The 17596-nt window shown below is 43.6% G+C and overlaps 1 protein-coding gene and 1 long non-coding RNA gene across 11 annotated transcripts in view, besides 2 other annotated features; one reads left to right on the top strand and one right to left on the bottom strand.

Annotated features, from left to right (window-relative positions):
• Positions 1 to 187: 187 nt before the first annotated feature.
• The window catches only part of MAP3K13 (mitogen-activated protein kinase kinase kinase 13), a 206134-nt gene continuing 188725 nt past the window's right edge, over positions 188 to 17596 (bottom strand). For all 7 annotated transcript variants that reach the window (XM_047449193.1, XM_017007456.2, NM_001242317.2 and 4 more), the window contains 4 exons: positions 15521 to 16307; positions 11886 to 11956; positions 8753 to 9050; positions 188 to 6927 (listed from right to left, as the gene is read on the bottom strand). In XM_047449193.1, coding sequence (XP_047305149.1) covers positions 6826 to 6927; positions 8753 to 9050; positions 11886 to 11956; positions 15521 to 16307 — 1258 coding nt within the window. In that variant the 3' untranslated portion in view covers positions 188 to 6825. The remainder of the gene's footprint in view (positions 6928 to 8752; positions 9051 to 11885; positions 11957 to 15520; positions 16308 to 17596) is intronic.
• LOC101929018 (uncharacterized) lies at positions 7971 to 15403 on the top strand. 4 transcript variants are annotated; one of them, XR_007096199.1, is made up of 4 exons: positions 7971 to 8064; positions 12135 to 12239; positions 12698 to 12798; positions 12933 to 15403. It is a non-coding gene; the product is annotated as an uncharacterized LOC101929018 (long non-coding RNA). The 4 variants fall into 4 exon arrangements; XR_007096198.1 differs by having other exon boundaries at positions 7971 to 8559; positions 8780 to 12239; XR_007096200.1 differs by lacking the exon at positions 7971 to 8064 and adding an exon at positions 8521 to 8559.
• Positions 8055 to 9254: an enhancer, noted in NCBI's record as "BRD4-independent group 4 enhancer chr3:185197816-185199015 (GRCh37/hg19 assembly coordinates)". NCBI's record gives its function as "activates an origin of replication core promoter dependent on BRD2, P300/CBP, MED14 and CDK7 cofactors, and independent of BRD4, by STARR-seq in HCT116 cells {active_cell/tissue: HCT116}" and the evidence as "EXISTENCE:reporter gene assay evidence [ECO:0000049][PMID:35650434]".
• Positions 15032 to 16231: an enhancer, noted in NCBI's record as "CDK7 strongly-dependent group 2 enhancer chr3:185190839-185192038 (GRCh37/hg19 assembly coordinates)". NCBI's record gives its function as "activates an origin of replication core promoter dependent on BRD2, BRD4, P300/CBP, MED14 and CDK7 cofactors, with strong dependence on CDK7, by STARR-seq in HCT116 cells {active_cell/tissue: HCT116}" and the evidence as "EXISTENCE:reporter gene assay evidence [ECO:0000049][PMID:35650434]".

Here is a 17596-nt window from a genome sequence, read left to right as displayed (position 1 = left end):
TTTCGTGGCTGTGTCAAATACAAGAATCGCAGAAACTAGCTTTCTCCATTACCTGCTTTTTGTGGCTGCAGGAAACCCAGTCATGGAAAGTCTTCCTTTCCCTCAAGTTCTGACAAATGCTGAGATTATTAAGGCAGCTCTCAGGGCACAAACAGTACATTTAGAAAAAGACAGGACTAGAAAACAGTGAAGTACACTTTTTGTTTAATTCCATGCATTTGTTTGCTTTGATAGTCATTCTTGTTCCCATTGCCGTTCAATACAGAGAGGGAGCCGGCATCAGAAAACAACACTGGGAGCTGGGGACTGACAGTACAGGAGACCAGAGGGGAGCCAGGTAAGGAGGTTCATTTGGAGACCTAACCACAAAAGAGAAATTCATTCGCTCCAAGTCGATAGGAGCTCAAATTACTGTAATAAAGCGTCAAAGAGGGTCTTCCCACTTCCAGAGTCTGGGAAGTGGTCACTCTGAAGGTGAAGAGCCACTGGGGTGATATGGGCAAGATGGGACATCTTCCTAATAGCTTGCACATGCTGGCTGGGGTTCCCTTGGCCTGCAGTCACTGGAGGACCCTGTCCACCTGGTCACTGGACAGCAGCCTAGGGCCGGGAGCCAGCGATCCCTGAGTGCTGTGAAGTGGCTCTGGAGAGCAGACCTGGGATGCTGCCGGGAGCTTCCTTACAGTGGCCTTGCCATCTGCTTAGGGCTCTGCTCTGTGAAGTCCTGCCATCGTACCCTGGCCACATGACAGTTAACAAAAGCCTTAACCCACCTCCTGTTTCTCAGAGCAGTGATTTTAGAGCTCCCCTCTTTAGCCACCTGTCCCTGAGAAATGCTCCAGGTTCCACAAGGGTCCTCTGCTTAGCCTAGTTCAGTCCGACTTGAATAGGCTTTTGCAGTATCAGTTGTAACATGCAAACAAGCAGATTAATATGATTCTAATGTGCCAGTCTGTGAGGGTGGGACACTGGTGGTGTGAGTATGCTAGGATATTTGTCCTATGAAATCAGCAAAGAAGAAACATTTTGCTGCCTGGAAAGGCACTAAATTCATACTGACCGTACAAGTCAAAGTCTCGAAAAGAATGTCACATTGTTTTGGTACATGAGTCTCACAGAGTCTAAGAAGCAAGTAACTGGGACTTATATTAATTTTCTGTTTATAAAAGGTGAGGGAGGAACATATTCATTCAACAGAATTAAATGATGTGAATGAAGAGACATTTTGGAATGGGATCCATCAGTGATTGGTGTTCCTTCAATTGGAATTGTTGTCCAAAAGGGCAGTGGGTAGAGGCAAGTGGCCTTTCCCCTTTCTGTGGTACCGCCCCTGACAGCCACAGGTGGACACTAGTGCGAGCCTGTCGTTCTGCCATTGGGGCTAACTCAAGCTCAAATGGCAATTCCAATCAAGCGGCAATTGTTGCTCCAAGTGCTATGTTGAGAGGTTCTGAGGCTGTGTCTAGGCTCAGTAGGAAAGATACGATGCTCAATACATAATGTTGGTCTTGGTCTTGGAGGTGGTAGATGGTGGTAAGTGGTAGTATAATATTTCGGCTTCTGGCTCAGTGGGAAAACAAAACATAGCACACTCTACTGCAGAGCAGGGCAGGAATTCTATGGATTATAAATATTATGTTCTGGAGAATTCAGTTCCAGGAAGTTCAAGTGGGACTGTTTTAAGAAAAGGAAAAAAAAATTGAGACATGAGGACATTGAAGAAAAAAAGAGTAAATCATTTGATCAAAAAGGATGCATTTATTCTTAAAGGATGCCAATGTTCCACAGTGGGAGAGGGCATTTAAAATAGTCTGGAGGCTGGGCATGGCAGCTCACGTTTGTAATCCCAGTACTTTGGGAGGCCAAAGCAGGAGGATCGCTAGAGCCCAGAGTTCGATACCAGCCTGGGCAACACAGGGAGACGCCCATCTCTACAAAAAAAAAAAAAAAATTGTTGTGCATGGTGGCACACACCTGTGGTCCCAGCTACTCAGGAGGCTGAGGTGGGAGGATCACTTGAGCCCAGGAGGTTGAGGCTGCAGTGAGCCATAATCATGCCACTGTACTCCAACCTGGTGACAGAGTGAGATCCTGCGCCCTCACCCCCCCCCAAAAAAAGTCTGGGTTGGTGCCAGGTAAATCCCAAACCCAAGCACATCTATTATTTAGAAAAGGAGAGGGGAATAATTTAGCATGATGAAGCTCTACAGGAGATGTCCAGTACTTACTAAATCCTACTCAAAATGTCTTTACTTCTAGAAGGATAGATTTGTTTGATGCCAACATTTTAAAATATAGTATCTCAACTTCAAGTAGCTAGATGAAGACGCCAGTTTACAATAGAGCTAGCATCTTCATCTTTCTCAGTAGGAGCTCCCCACCATCTTGCAAACAGGTCTAAACTTAAGTGGTGGTAAGGTCCATTATAATTTCAAAGTAGATGCAGGCTTCTCAGCCCCTCTGCAAAGCAATTTTAAAAGGAACTGTTATCCAGAGGATATGATCTTGAAATAGATGAAAATCAGAACCAAATGCTCATCTGCAACCCAAATTAAAACTCATCATCTTGCAGTCAGTTAAAAACAGACGCTAACGGAACATGGACATTCATCCCAAGATGGTGAAACTTTCCATCAATGAAGCAGCTTGAAATCACAGTCTTGTGAGGTTCCTGGAAGCACTGTTGTAACACACTTGTCAGGACTGAAGAATTAGCTCATAACTTCCCTGAGCTCTTGATTCAACACTCTTCAGATGACTGTGGAGTCGTTCTCAAAGAAACATACATCAATTCAAGATTTTCCCGGTTATCACAAGGCAGGCAGCGAAGGACCAGGCTGGGCTAGAGAAGGTATTTCCCTTTTTAACCTCCACTAAGGACCTTATTCTCCTCTGAAACCTCTAGTCAATTCTACTTAAAAAAATGTGTTCAATATGGACTTTATTCAACTCTCGACTATACAATGAATGACTGAGATTCAGCCACTACGTACTACCCTAACATACTCATAACAGTTAATCCACATAAGGTGTATGATGACAATAGCATAACAGATAATCAAGATGAGAATTCAAAAAAAACTGATCAAAATTACGAGGTATCAGGGGTAGGTTTTCTAGGAAGACCATCACTGAAAGATGTAAGATAAAAGCTGACCCTCATGTTTCTCTGTTGCCACTAAAGGTGGGCAAGAATTGGACAAAACTGCCAGTGTTTTATGTTGGATAGAAAGAAGACATAGAGTTGTAGCATCTCTGTTCCAAGGAATAATGAACCAGAGAGATTTACAGTACAGTGAGATCTGAAGTCAAGAGGATGGAAAATATAGCCTTTCAAGAATTTTTTTCCAGTCGTTGGTCCTCTAAGTGACCAGGCCTCCTTCTTAAAGTTCTTTAGTCTTGTTCTAGGATGACATCACAGTTAGGCATTTTATGTCATGCCCTACATGTATATACGGTAGTCCTCCCTTATTTCTGGGGGATACATTCCAAGACCCCCAGTGGATGCCTAAAAACTCTGATAGTACCAAACCCTATATATACTATGTTTTTTTTTCTATACTTACATATCTATGATAAAATTTAATTTGTAAATTAGGCACAGCACTCTTGCCCTTTGGGGCTATTATTAATTAAATAGGGGTACTTGAACACAAGCACTGCGATACAGTCATCTGATAACCGAGACAGTCGATCTGATCACCGAGACTGCTACTAAGTGACTAATGGATGAGCAGCATGAATATGCTGGACAGAGGGAGGATCACCTCCAGGGCAGCAAGGGGCAAGATCTCATCATGCTCCTCAGAATGCTGTGCAATTAAAATTTATGAATTGTTTATTTCTGGAATGTTCCATCAAATATTTTTGGACTGCTGTTGAGCGTAACTGAAACCATGAAAATGAAGCCATGGGTAAGAGGGGACTACTGTATACCATTTCTTTTTTTAGTCTCCCTGCTACTCTCCACTAGGAGAATAAAGGTGGGAGAACAAAGGGGTCTGGCAGGAAGGAGATTGCAAACTATGTTGTCAATTCTTGAAACGAATCCATGAGCCCTGTGCGGAAACCCTCTAGGTCTGTTCCTCTCAGGACATTAAATCATTCTCTTTTTATTTCTAATATAGTCCCATGAATTTATTTCCTAAGAAACTTTAGAAAGTTTACAGCTTTTTAACTATATGTCCATCCACTATTTGACATCCTGGGGGTCATCGGCCCACCCAGGAGCTTTCATGATCAAGTCAAAATCACAATGTATCCATTGGGCTTCAGGGCAGAACATGCGTCCTCAGATGATTGTTGTACACAGAAAATTAGGGAACACAGCTAAGATCAATACCAGGGAGCTCCCAAATGGGAATTCCATTTTCATTCCTTCATTAAAATCATAAAATCCATAATAATTCCTGGTTAGCAATAAACACAACCATTGTGCCACATCATAAATCACACCTTCTGATCGACAGAAAATGAGAATGATAATATTATAAAATAAAATAACAATGATAATAATGCCATAACTTAAGATCTTTCATGTAGTCCAGCTACAGAATTTTTACAAAATGGAATAAATTAATGCAAACAATACTGCTCTTTGTATAAATTAAACATTTTCCTTCATCCTAAGAGCTATAAATCACAGACACTACATTTTAAATCAATGTATCAACATAAAGTGTAAACAAATGGATCAAACAAGCAAAAGGAACTCTAAATTCCCTCCTGCCTTTCCTTTTTGGCTGATGCAATCAGTAAAACCCAGAGGAGCGGCAACATTTTCATGTGCATTGGAAATGGTTTAACAGCTGTCTGTGCAAGTATTTCCTAACGTCCAACATGATGCAGTGTCAAAGAGTCCAGTGAATCTAGAGAGGTTGTTTGACGGTAATCTGTCTTGGAGACAGGGACAGGTACTAGGTCAACACCTATTTGTACATAAAATTCTAAAAAAATTTTTCCTTAAGGCCAAGGCACCATGAAGTACCTTGGAATGCTTTTCAGAGCCCATGACCCTGGAGACAGGCAGGACCTCATGCTTTTGGCAATGTAAAAATCCTTCCTATCCCTGCTCAGCATCCCTTGTTCTTTCCACAAATGTTCAAATCCAGTTATTTAAAACTGCATTGATTTGGAGTGAAGTAAAAGATATTTTACAAGTAGCATTGAACAAAAATGCTATTGTGCTGGGAGAGGAGTTGCCTTTTGCAAGCTGCTTGTTTTTGCTTTTATTCTGACAGTGGTAGCCAGTCATTAAGACTTCTAAGATAGGCCGGGCACAGTGGCTGATGCCTGTAATCCCAGCACTTTGGGAGGCCGAGGCAGGCGGATCACCTGAGGTCAGGAGTTTGAGACAAGCCTGGCCAACATGGTGAAACCCCGTGTCTACTAAAAATACAAAATTAGCCAGGCGTGGTTGCGGGCGCCTGTAATCCCAGCTACTCGGGAGGCTGAGGCAGGAGAATCGCTTGAACCTGGGAGATGGAGGTTGCAGTGAACTGAGATTGTGCCATTGCACTCTAGCCTGGGCAAAAAGAGCAAAACTCTGTCAAAAAAAAAAAAAAAAAAAAGAACTTCTAAGATAGAATGAGTTATTGAATAAAAACAAAGGGATGGTTTGGGCTCAGACATTGTATAGACACACATACATCCTAGCTGCCTTCAAAGTCTGTTCTCCTGCTTGAATCAATATGACTCAAGTAGACAAGCAACCTGGCTCCAGAGAGGGGTGGTTCCATCTTCTCCTCGTAGCTGAACTGAGTGATCCTGAGAATGGAGTTTTATAAATTCCACGTTCGTTTTCCTAACACCACTGTAGATGTTCTTCCTCTCTCACCCTTTTCTCCTCCTCAGTACTGCCCCCCAACCTTTGTTCCTACAGGAAGTGGTCAGCAGGCAGAAAGGAAATGAGCTACAAGGAAATGGCACTTGAGTATGAAAGATCAACACGTTGGGTCAAGGTAGCACATTTGCCAAGGTAATGACAGTGACAGCACTAAAAAGGGACGTATTTGCCAAAAACAAGATTTGACACTATCTGTAAACCTCACTACCAACTGCTGCTTAAACATTTAAAAATGAAACCAGCTTCCACATACACAGGTTTGTTTGTTTGTTTGTTTGTCTGTTTTTCCCTCCTAGAGGAAGCACATGCCCTTGAAGACATTGGGTGCAAGTATCTGGTCACCAGACTTTTCTAGGTCATTTCCGTAAGCCACCTGGACAAGCTGGTTGAAGTGAATATGGTCTGTTCACAAGTTGCCTGGAATTGCTTTTCTTTTGCTGTTCTTTGTGTTCTAAAATGTTCAATGTCTTGCTCTGGCTCTTCTTTAGTCACTTATGGCCAAAAGACCTGGTCCCCTGTTCAAGCAGCAATAATACCTCCCGGCCCCACAAATTCCCAAGGATGTTGCTCTTAAATTCCACTTATTTCTTTTTTTCTGTTCTTTCTTTTATCTCTTTTTTTTTTTGCAAGAAATTATTGTCTCTCTATCTCATATATAGTTCACTCTTTGCAGTACAAAGTGTTAAAATGTCAAACAAAAATAAATATCAATGTTACAGTAGCTAGAATATTCAATAAAATAGATCCCTGCCATTCTTGATTGAAATGTTCAGTGAGACTTAATTTCATTTGGATATTATTTTCCAGAGATTTGCGAAGTCTCATGTTCCTGTTATTGCAGCTCATTTCTAGGGGGTGGTAAAGATGGGGTAGTCTCTCTTCCCAGACAAAATGCTGGGAGAGAGTGGGATGAGTCTGGGGGTGGGGTGGATCTGAAATGCCAGTATAGTCACGAGATCTTCAGGATGTGTATTCCTTCATTACCAGGTAGCAGAGCTGTAGTGTTTATTGGTCCTAACTGTGGCATCAGAACACTCCCCATCTGAAGAGTCACAGTCCGATTCTTCAAACTGCATGGGGTTCTGCAAAGGCAAGACAAAACCTTAATTCATTTCGATAATCACTCAGTAAATATATGTCAAACACCTCCCACACAACAGGCACTGTGCTTGGTAAGGGGGCTACAAAGGTAAACGAGACCAGGTCCTGTCCTTGTGGGACTTATGGAGAAAGAAAACACATGATGATTATGATTGCTACGACAATAAAAACAGTGCCCACCACACAACCACTTATATAGCGTTTACTATGCTCCAGGCACTGTTGTAAGTACTTTACTTATTTATTTATTTAGAGATGGAGTCTCACTCTGTCGCCCAGGCTGGAGTGCAGTGGCACGATCTTGGCTCGCTGCAACCTCCGCCTCCCGGATTCAAGCGATTCTCCTGCCTCAGCCTCCTGAGCGGCTGGGACTACAGGCGCGTGCCACCATGCCCGGATAATTTTTTGTATTTTTAGTAGAGACAGGGTTTCACTGTGTTAGCCAGGATGGTTTTGATCTCCTGACCTTGTGATCCATCTGCCTCGGCCTCCCAAAGTGCTGGGATTACAGGCATGAGCCACTGCGCCCGGTGGTAAGTACTTTATTAATACATCTGTTAATCCATTTAGTCCTCATGATAACACTATGAGACAGATGCTATTATCATCCCCATTTTACAGAGAGGTTAAGTGGCTTGCCAGGTCCCACAGTAAGTGGAATGCTACAATTTGCATTCAGGCAGTCAGATTCCAGGCTTTACACTTAGAACCACTATGCTAGCCTGCCTCTCCAAAGGCAGTCCTGAATATGAAATAAAGTGCTATATGTCCTATGATGGCATCATCCAGGGAAGAGTCAGGGTATGGAGTGGGGAGGCTCAGACCTTTAAAATAATTTTTTTTTTTCAGAGACAGGGTCTCACTGTTGCTCAGGCTGGAGTGCAGTGGTGTGATCATAGCTCACTGCAGCCTCAAACTCCTGGGCTTAAGAGAACCTTCCACCTCAAGCCTCCCGAGTAGCTGGGACTGCAGGCATGTACCATCAAACTCAGCTAATTAAATTTTGTTGTTGTTGTTGTTGTAGAGGCAAGGTCTTGCTATGTTGCTCAGACTGATCTTGAACTCCTGACCCTAAAGTGATCCTCCTGCCTCAGCCTCCCAAAGTGCTGGGATTGCAGGTATGAGCTACCACACCTGACCTGGGCTCAGACCTTTAACCGTGTTGGGAGATAGGAGTGGGAGGAAGTGATGTTTGAGTTAAATCTTGACATGAAGGGTTCCTGAGCAGTTCAATGTGTGTGTGTCATTTGGGAGAAACTGCCCTCATTTCTGGGAGCTCTGTTGATCTCTGTACGTCTACTTACTTCTTGGAGGCCTGATATGGTTTGGCTCTCTGTCCCCACCCAAATCTCATGTTGAATTGCAATTCCCAATGTTGGGGGAGGCACCTGGTGGGAAGTGACTAGATCATGGGAGTGGATTTCCCCCTTGCTATTCTCATGATAGTGAGTGAGTTCTCATGAGATCTGATGGTTTCAAAGTGGGTGGCACTTTCCCCTTTGCTTTCTCTCTCCTACCACCATGTGAAGACATGCTTGCTTCCTCATCACCTTCTGCCATGATTGTGTTTCCTGAGGTCTCCCAGCCGTGCTTCCTGTACAGCTTGTGGAAGTGTGAGTCAATTAAACCTCTTTTCTTCATAAATTACCCAGTCTCAGGTAGTTCTTTATAGCAGTGTGAAAACAGACTAATACAAGGCCACTGTTGTATCTTATTATTAAATGAAAATTGTAAAGGCCCTAGAGACTTGAACCCCAAAGAGCAAAAAAGGGAACAGTGATGGGAGGAGAAGGGAGAAGCCCCCACCTCATAGCCACGTTCCTCCACACACAGCTTGCCCAGAGACATCTGAGTCTTCACACGGCGCACGGCACACTCCTTGTCAGAGAGCCCATCCGAGTGTGAGGATATGTCAATGGGAATCTCTGGCGTCTGGGACAGCAGGTCGTCTAGCTTCTCTGCCAAGCGGTCTTCAAGTTTATCAGCTAACTCATCAGGACTGTTTGAGTGGTCACTGGTATTTCCCTCTTCTCCATCAGACACAGAGAAATTCTCAGAGCTAAAGGTTGAATATGACTGGCAGCTGCTGATACAGCGATGGGGCCTAGAACCAAGAAGAACCAGGAGAACTTAGTCAGAGGAACAACTGCTTTTCTTTCCTTATCTGTCACTCATAGTAGTGGTAGAGATAATCTAGTTTTTTCCCTGCCATCAAGGAGGCCTAAGAAATCAAGATAGGTAGAAACTATTTAACTTTTAACATTAAGGCAATGGACTGAATTTTATCCCCCATGAAATTCCATGTTGAGGCCCTAATACCAGTGCGACTGTATTCGGAGATAGGGCTTTTAGGAAGTAAATAAAGTTAAATGGATCATAAGGGTGAGGTCCTGATCAAATAGGATTGGCAGCCTTATAAAAAGAGGAAGAGATTCTCTCCATTCCTCCCTCCCACCTTTTTTCAACATTCATGTGCGGGGCAAAGACCATGTGAGGAAACAGAGAAGGTGGCTGTCTGCAAGCCAGGAAGAGAGCCCTCACCAGAAACTGAATCTGCTGACACCTTGATCTTGGACTTCCCCAGCTCCAGAACTTGAGAAATAAGTTCCTGTTGTTTAAGCCATCCAATCTGTAGTATTTTGTTATGGCAGCCCAAGGTGACTAACACAAGAAGGAAATTTTAATTTCCCCTTTCATTTGGTTTATATATTTATGTGACTAAACACTACACTCCAAGCTGATGGCTATGACTGGCCTTTGAAAAACATCAGCTTGTCTAATCACGTTATGTACATATATGCATAGTATGGAATGTCCAAATTGAAATTATGCCTCTTATTTAGAGAGTCATAGATTCTCACAGGTGAAAGAGACTTTGGAGAATCTCTGGACTAACTCATTTCCCAGATGAGAAAACTGGAGCCAGAGAAGGGAAGTGACTTGTTTAAGGCCACACCATGAGAAAAGGCAGAGCTGAGGCTTGGGCTGGGTCTACACACACTTTGATCAGTGTCCTTCTCTAACCTCCATCCCTCACCTCCCTGTCAATCCACCCCAGCTTCATTTCCCAGAGCCCAGTGTCCACTGGGCATGGTGGCCCTGGAGGCCCAAGTGCTTTCACTACCTCTGTTGACCAACCTTCAACAGAAATGAGCATGGAAGGAACATTCACTCTGCAGCTGTGGGTACTGCCCAGCTAGTTAGTAGCTCATTCCAGTTAACATCTGAGTTTGGCTCTGATGAGCCAACGCTTCTGGGGAGATAATTTGCAAAAGTTCCTCAGTTCCTTCCCGTTGTTTATAAGCAGCTTAGTAAATAAGGATGTTACTAGCTTACACTGGCTTAAAAAAACATAAGAAAACAAATAATAAAGACTTCCTTTTTCTTTTGCCATTGTCTGATCTTTCTGTATTTCTTAGTCTAAAGAGTTTTGTTTTGTTTTGTTTTTTTCTTTTTTTTTTTTTGAGACAGAGTCTCACTCTGTCGCCCAGGCTGGAGTGCGGTGGTGCCATCTCGCCTCATTGCAACCTGTGCCTCCTGGGTTCAAGCAATTCTCCTGCCTCAGCCTTCTGAGTAGCTGGGACTACAGGCATGCCCCACCATGCCTGGCTAATTTTTGTATTTTTAGTAGAGACGGGGTTTCGCCGTGTTGGCCAGGATGGTCTTGAACTCCTGATTCAGCCTCCCAAAGTGCTGGGTTTAGAGGTGTGAGCCACAGCACCCGGCCTAGTACAAAGAGATTTTATGCCATATGACCTAGGCCTGGCTGATGCCCAGGACAGGTGATGGGGTGAGTTGGTTGGGGGTCAGGGGGGCAGATCATGGATATATAAGAAGAGGTCATAAAGAGTCCAGGAATAGCAGGGAATGAGAACAGATTTCAATTTTGTGTATAATGCAGGGATCCAGGATATAACTTATCAAAGGGCCAGGAGTCCTTTGGTTTGTAGGGAATTCCTGTTTCCAGGCAGGTACACAAACCTTCCTGGGGAGACTTCTTAGAGCATTACTCTTCAAGAACAGAATGTCCATTAGCAGAAAAAGACCTCTTGGTAGGAAAACTATCTTATTCTCTACATTAGAGGCAGCTTTTATTCTAGAAGTAAGGGGAGATGGCCCTTATTGACTCCTAGCAGGAATATTATTATCGCTATCTAAGCAAGAAGCTATTTCTAAGGCTGGGTTGAAGGTGGATTCAACTTATCTAATCATATTTAACTTGAGATATAAAATCTAAGGCATGGGGAATGCTATGGACTGAATTGCCTTCCTCCCAAATCCATCGGTTGAAGCTCTAAACTCCAATATAATTGTATCTAGATAGACCCTCTAGATAGGGTCTTTAGGAGGTAATTAATATTAAATGAGTTCATAAGAGTGGACCCCTAATCCAATAAGACTGTGACCTTTTAAAAGAAGGAAGAGCTCTCTCTGCCATGTGAGGAAACAGCAAGAAGGTGGCTGTCTGCAAGCCAGTAGGAGAGCCCTCATCAGGAACTGAGTCAGCTAGAACCTTGATCTTGAACTTCCCCAGCTCCAGAATTGTGAGAAATCAATTTCTGTTGTTTAAGCATCCAGTTTGTTACAGAAGCCTGAGCAGACCAACACAGGGAGGCACACTAGAAACCAACACAATTACCCATAAAACAGCATGGCCATCTGTCACAAACTGCCCACTGTATTCTCAGTTGTAACCTTGAATCTGTATTCATGCTCCTCATCATGAAGTTGCTGTAAAATGAATGCTAATGAACTAGGATCTGCTGTGCACGAACAACTGCCAAAATGTAGCAACAGGAAAACATGAACACAGTGAGTTCAAAGTTCCCTATAAGGTGGCTGCCAGGGAATCACCTGTGGTTGAAGAGCAGGTGTGGCAAACTTAGGATTTTTTTTCCCCATTCCACTAAAAGCAATCGTGTGCATTTGTTGGTTTTACCTCTGTCTTCGTGGAAATTCAACTTCACTATCTACTTCCCCTTCTTCCTCTTCTGAGGAGTCATCTCCACTCTGAGGAGAACAAGGATTAAGAGTTTTATTTATTTTAGTGTCACTCTGTCTCTCTCACCCCATCCCCACTAACTGTAAAAAATGTAATTATCATCAAAAGTCATTCATTTAGTAGTAGCTTGCTGAATGTCATCTTTAAACATACATGTCCTCATTATTCATTTAGTAACTTTTCCAGGGTACCTATGATGGCGGGCCTGCATGAGATGCTGGAAGACGTGTAGAACTGAGTGAAATTTTCTTTGTCCTCAGAGAGGTGATGGCTCTATTAAAGTGTCCAGAGGTGAGTGATGGAGAGGGAAGTTGGAGAGGAGGTCTTGGATTTGGGGTCAGTCTCTTGTAATCATTGTCACTAGTGGTTCCAGGCTCTGTTATAGAATTGATCTTTGAAATCCTCAAAGCCGAACAATTACTTTTTCCCTTTTTATATACCAATCCCTTTTTCACTAATATTATGTAGTTAGATAGACATTTTTGAGGGTCAGACTATATCCTGTTTGTACTGTATGCCTCACTCCATTAATACAATACTGCATACAAAATTGGTGTTATCCCTATAAATATATATAATTATTGTTTGTCAATTAAAAGAAAGTGCTTAATGCATTTTTATTGAGTCAGCATGTTGGCAGCAATAAGGGAGCTCTGGCTGGGACACCTGAGTCCCCGTGATTGCTGGGGCTCCATGGTTGATCTGGAAGGCGGGGTAAGTGTCCTGACTGAGGTGATCTTCCTTTACAGAGAACTCATCTCACACCAAGGGCATAGGAGCAGCCACACTTAAGATCAACTGTCCTTAACCACAGCATCATGATACGCTGGATTACCCAATCGCTTGTAAGGTGGGTAATTGGGTCCAAGGAACTGTACCAAATATTGAGAATAATTTACCTTTTAAAAAGTCAGTTCTAAAATATCATGAATCTTACTCATTTGTATTCTGATATGCTTTTTTTTTTTTTTTTTTTTAAAATAGGAAAGACAGAGATGAAGTTATCCTGACTGCTGAGATGAGCAGTTTACCCTAGGAGGACCTGTGGGACTATGTTTTGGTAAAGAAAAGTTGAGCTGCTCTGTGGGAGTGAGGTTCCAATGAAGCCAAATGTACAAGGTGTGTGTTCTATGGCCTAAAGACCCGTAGATGGTATCACAATGGCATGAGAAAGGTTCAAAGATACATGTTATTTGGGGGAGCCTGGGGAATGTGGTGACTGCTAAAGGGTGTGGGGTTTCTTTCTGGGGTGATAAAAGTGTTGTAAAATTGGTCGTGGTGATAGTTACACAGCTCTGTGGATAAAAAGCATTGAACTATACACTTTAAATGGGAGGACTGTATGGTATGCAAATTATATCTTAATAAAGAAGTTATCAAAAAATACAAGTTACTGGCCATCGGAGTTGGAAGAGGAGAGAATGGATCGGCCCAAATCAACTGCACCAGCTGAAACACAATTTTATGTATTTATTTATTTATTGAGACAGAGTCTTGCTCTGTTGCCCAGGCTGGAGTGCAGTGGTGCAATCTTGGCTCACTGCAACCTCTGCCTCCTGGGTTCAACTGATTCTCCTGCCTCAGCCTCCCGAGTACCTGGGATTACAGGAGTGCACCACCATGCCCGGCTAATTTTTGTATTTTTAGTAGAGACAGGGTTTCCCATATTGGCCAGGCTGGTCTCGAACTCCTGACCTCAGGTGTTCCACCCGCCTTGGCCTCCCAAAGTGCTGGGATTACAGGTGTGAGCCACCGCGGCCACCCCCTGAAACACAATTTAATCTCTGGGACTGCTTAGTCAGTATAGGAGCAGCAATGTAGGTGGAGGGGGAAATGCAGTTCCCAGATGACAGCCCTCAGCTTCAGCTTCTTTTCTACTCAATGCCTAGTTGACCAAACATACTCATTACATTTTATACCCTTTCATTCCTTCAGCTAAATTCCTGGTGAACAATGATGATGAGATGAAACCATACTTAGAATTGGGTGGGTGTCTACCATGTTGTAAACATTTTTCATACATAATCTTATTTTTTGACTCATAGCAAGAAGAGCTAATACTTTTGGAAAAGTGCTACGTTCCAGGCCCTGTTCTAAATGCTTTATATGTATTTATGCATGTAGTCTTTATAGCAACTGATGAGGCAGAGTCCAATATTAGGCCCATTTTATAGACAAGGAAACTGAGGTCCATAGAGGTACTAAATGGAAGAGCGTGGCTTTTTTTTTTTTTTTTTTTTGAGATGGGGTCTCACACTGTCGCCCAGTCTGGAGTGCAGTGGCGGGATCTCGGCTCACTGCAGCCTCCACCTCCCAGGTTCAAGCTATTCTCTGCCTCAGCCTCCTGAGTAGCTGGGATTACAGGTGCCTGCCACCACGCCTGGCTAATTTTTGTATTTTTGGTAGAGATAGGATTTCACCATGCTGGCCAGGCTGGTCTTGAACTCCTGACCTCATGATCCACCTGCCTCGGCCTTCCAAAGTGCTGGCATTACAAGCATGAGCCACCGTGCCTGGCCAAGAGCCTGGCTTTAAAGTAAGGTCTGTCTGACTCCTAGGCTCATGCTCTTAACTGCTATGGTAGTCTGCTTCCCAGGTAACAAATCCCAGGCAGCCAGTGGATAAGGAGGAGAGAAACAGGTTTCAATGATTAAGAACTATCTGGGTCACGATGCCTGTCAATTAAGGCAATGTTTTCCAAAGTGTGAAGAAAGCTAGTGCCTCAGGGGATTAATAGATGTTAATTTAAAAAGGCTGTATGTTCAAATAGGTGAGGGAAATGCTCGGTTAAACAAGTTTACTGCAGGATTTCTCAAAGCAGAGGACTGTTAATGTGCCCTAGGAATCTGTATGAGGGGATGAGAGAATACTGTGCTTCTTAAACTTACTCTATAACAGGCTCTTTACTTCCCATAACATCCCTCAGGACTAGAGCTGTAGCATAGTAGTTTCCAAACTATTTTGATTACATATCCCCACTATATAGTTTTTTTGTTTGTTTGTTTTTTGAGACAGAGTCTCGCTCTGCCACCCAGGCTGGAGTGCAGTGGTGTGATCTCGGCTCAGTGCAACCTCCGCCTCCCAGGTTCAAGCAATTCTCATGCCTCAGTCTCCTGAGTAGCTCGGATTACAGGTGTGTGCTACCACACCTGGCTAATTTTTGTATTTTTTTTAGTAGAGACAGGGTTTCACCATGTTGGCCAGGATGGTCTCGAACTCTTGACCTCAAGTGATCCTCCTGCCTTGGCCTCCCAAATTGCTGGGATTATAGGCGTGAGCCACCATGTGCAGCCCATATCCCCAGTATATAGTTATCTATAAATAAGTTATTATACATACACTTGACTCAGTCCTCTGGTTCAGTAGTTGCTAAAGTGTATTCCGTAGTTTATCACTTAAACAGTGTGGAAAGAACGAATTTAAAGTAAAATAAATTTCTATTTATGTTTCTGTTATCTTGTCCTTTTACAAAATGTATACTTTTTACATATGCTCTCTAATGTGTATAACATGACAGGCTCTGGCATTCTTTGAAGGCAGTGACGCAGGCCACTCTCATCATTACACTTTACCTTCTGCAGAGGCCTTGTTTTTCGAGGTAGCGCTGGAGGGGTGCCGAGATGAGAGGTGCCGAGGGATGACTCAGACCTACAGCCGCTGAATTCATTTTCTTCCGTTTTCTCAGAACTCTGGGCGTTTTCCAAGAGAGGATTATGTGCTGGTGACTTGGAAAGGTCAGGGCTCCTCCCCACTGGCTCAGCAGAGGGTATGTCTAAGGACCCATACTGTTCTGGCCTGCACTGAAGGCAGGGGTCATAAGCGTCAGCCTGGCAACAGCCCCAGGGACCAGCTTGGCCCTTGTCAGGCTCAGAACTTCTCCAGCAGTCTGCAGCCATGGCTGTGGAGATGAGGTCAGGGCTCGAGCCGGGCAGCTGTCTCTGAGCATGGTTGCTGAGTGGGCTCCGCAGGGCTGCTGCTGGGCCGAAATACCTCAGGTTGTTGGCGCAGGTTGCTATGTCCTGTCCGTGCATATTGAGTCTGGGATGGTGACTCTGGGACATGGCAGGAGGGGGCTGCTGGTATTGCTGCTGCAGAGAATTATGGTGATGAAGAGAAGGGTATTGGGATTGAGCTTGGTGCAGGTAAGTGGGATGGGGTGAATTTTCCTGGGCTGGCTGGTTTTTCAAGATTGCGGCAAAGTCACTATGGCTGCCTCTGCTATTCCCTCGGCGGTGGCGTGGTTTGCTTCGATATCGGCTCTTGCTGCTAGAAGTGGACATTTTGGGACTTCCGGACAAAGGGGATGCAGTGGGAGCCACTTCTGTGGTGGGGATCCCTTCTGATCTCAACAAGTCTGGCCTGGGAGGAAAGAACAGGTTTAATCTGAAACACATGAAAACACATTCAAGTTTGGGGAAATGTATCCTAAGACTTAAAATACACAGAGCCTTTGAATCAGCAGTCATCAGGATTTATCCAATAGAGATAACGTATGAGGGGTCTTCAAAATGTTCATGGAAGATGCATATTATGAAGAAACTATGCATGGATCTCAAAATTTTTTGCATGGAAATAAACTCATACCAACTTATCGGTAACATCTCTAAGCACGATCTAGATTGAGGCACTAAGAACAATCGCTTTGAAAAGAGCCCCTATCAGAGCAACATGAATTCTGCTACGATTAAAGAACAAACATCAAATTTGTGGTGAAGCTTAAGTGGAAGAATGGTGAAAACATTGACGCTTTATGAAACGTTTATGGAACAACGTCCCAAAGAAATCAGCAGTTTACAAATGGGTAACTTCTTTAAGAAGGGATGGGCCGGGTGCGGTGGCTAATGCCTGTAATCCCAGCACTTTGGGAGGCCAAGGAGGGTGGATCACGAGGTCAAGAGATCGAGACCATCCTGGCCAACATGGTGAAACCCCGTCTCTACTAAAAATACAAAAATTAGCCAGGCGTGGTGGTGCATGCCTGTAGTCCCAGCTACTCAGGAGGCTGAGGCAGGAGAATCGCTTGAACCTGGGAGGCGGAGGTTGCAGTGAGCCGAGATGGTGCCACTACACTACTCCAGCCTGGGCAACAGAGTGAGACTCTGTCTCAAAAAAAAAAAAAAAAAAAAAAGAAGAAGGGATGAGATGATGTTGAAGACGAAGCCCACAGGAGCAGACCAACCACATCAATTTGTGAGGAAAAAAATTCATCTTACTCATGCCCTAATTGAAGAGAACTGATGATTAACAGCAGAAACAATAGCCAACTCAATAGACATCTCATTTGGCTCAGCTTACACAATTCTAATAGAAAAATTAAAGTTGAACAAACTTTCCACTCAATGGGAACCAAAACTGTTGCATTCAGATCAGCTGCATACAAGAGCAGAACTTTCAATAGAAATTTTAAACACTTGGGATCAAGATCTTCAAACATCTCTTTGCATAAGTGAAATTGTAACAGGAGATGAAACACAGCTCTACCAGTATGATCCTGAAGACAAAGCACAATTAAAGCAATGGCTACCAAGAGGTGGAACTGGTCCAGTCAAAACAGACTGGTCAGGAGTAAAGGTCGGCCGGGCGTGGTGGCTCACGCCTATAATCCCAGCACTTTGGGAGGCCGAGGCAGGTGGATCACTTGAGGTCAG

Source organism: Homo sapiens, chromosome 3 (assembly GCF_000001405.40).
Source record: "Homo sapiens chromosome 3, GRCh38.p14 Primary Assembly".
NCBI lineage: Eukaryota > Metazoa > Chordata > Mammalia > Primates > Hominidae > Homo > Homo sapiens.
The sequence above is the reverse complement of the archived record's forward strand: the minus strand, read 5'-3'. Positions and strand labels throughout refer to the sequence as shown.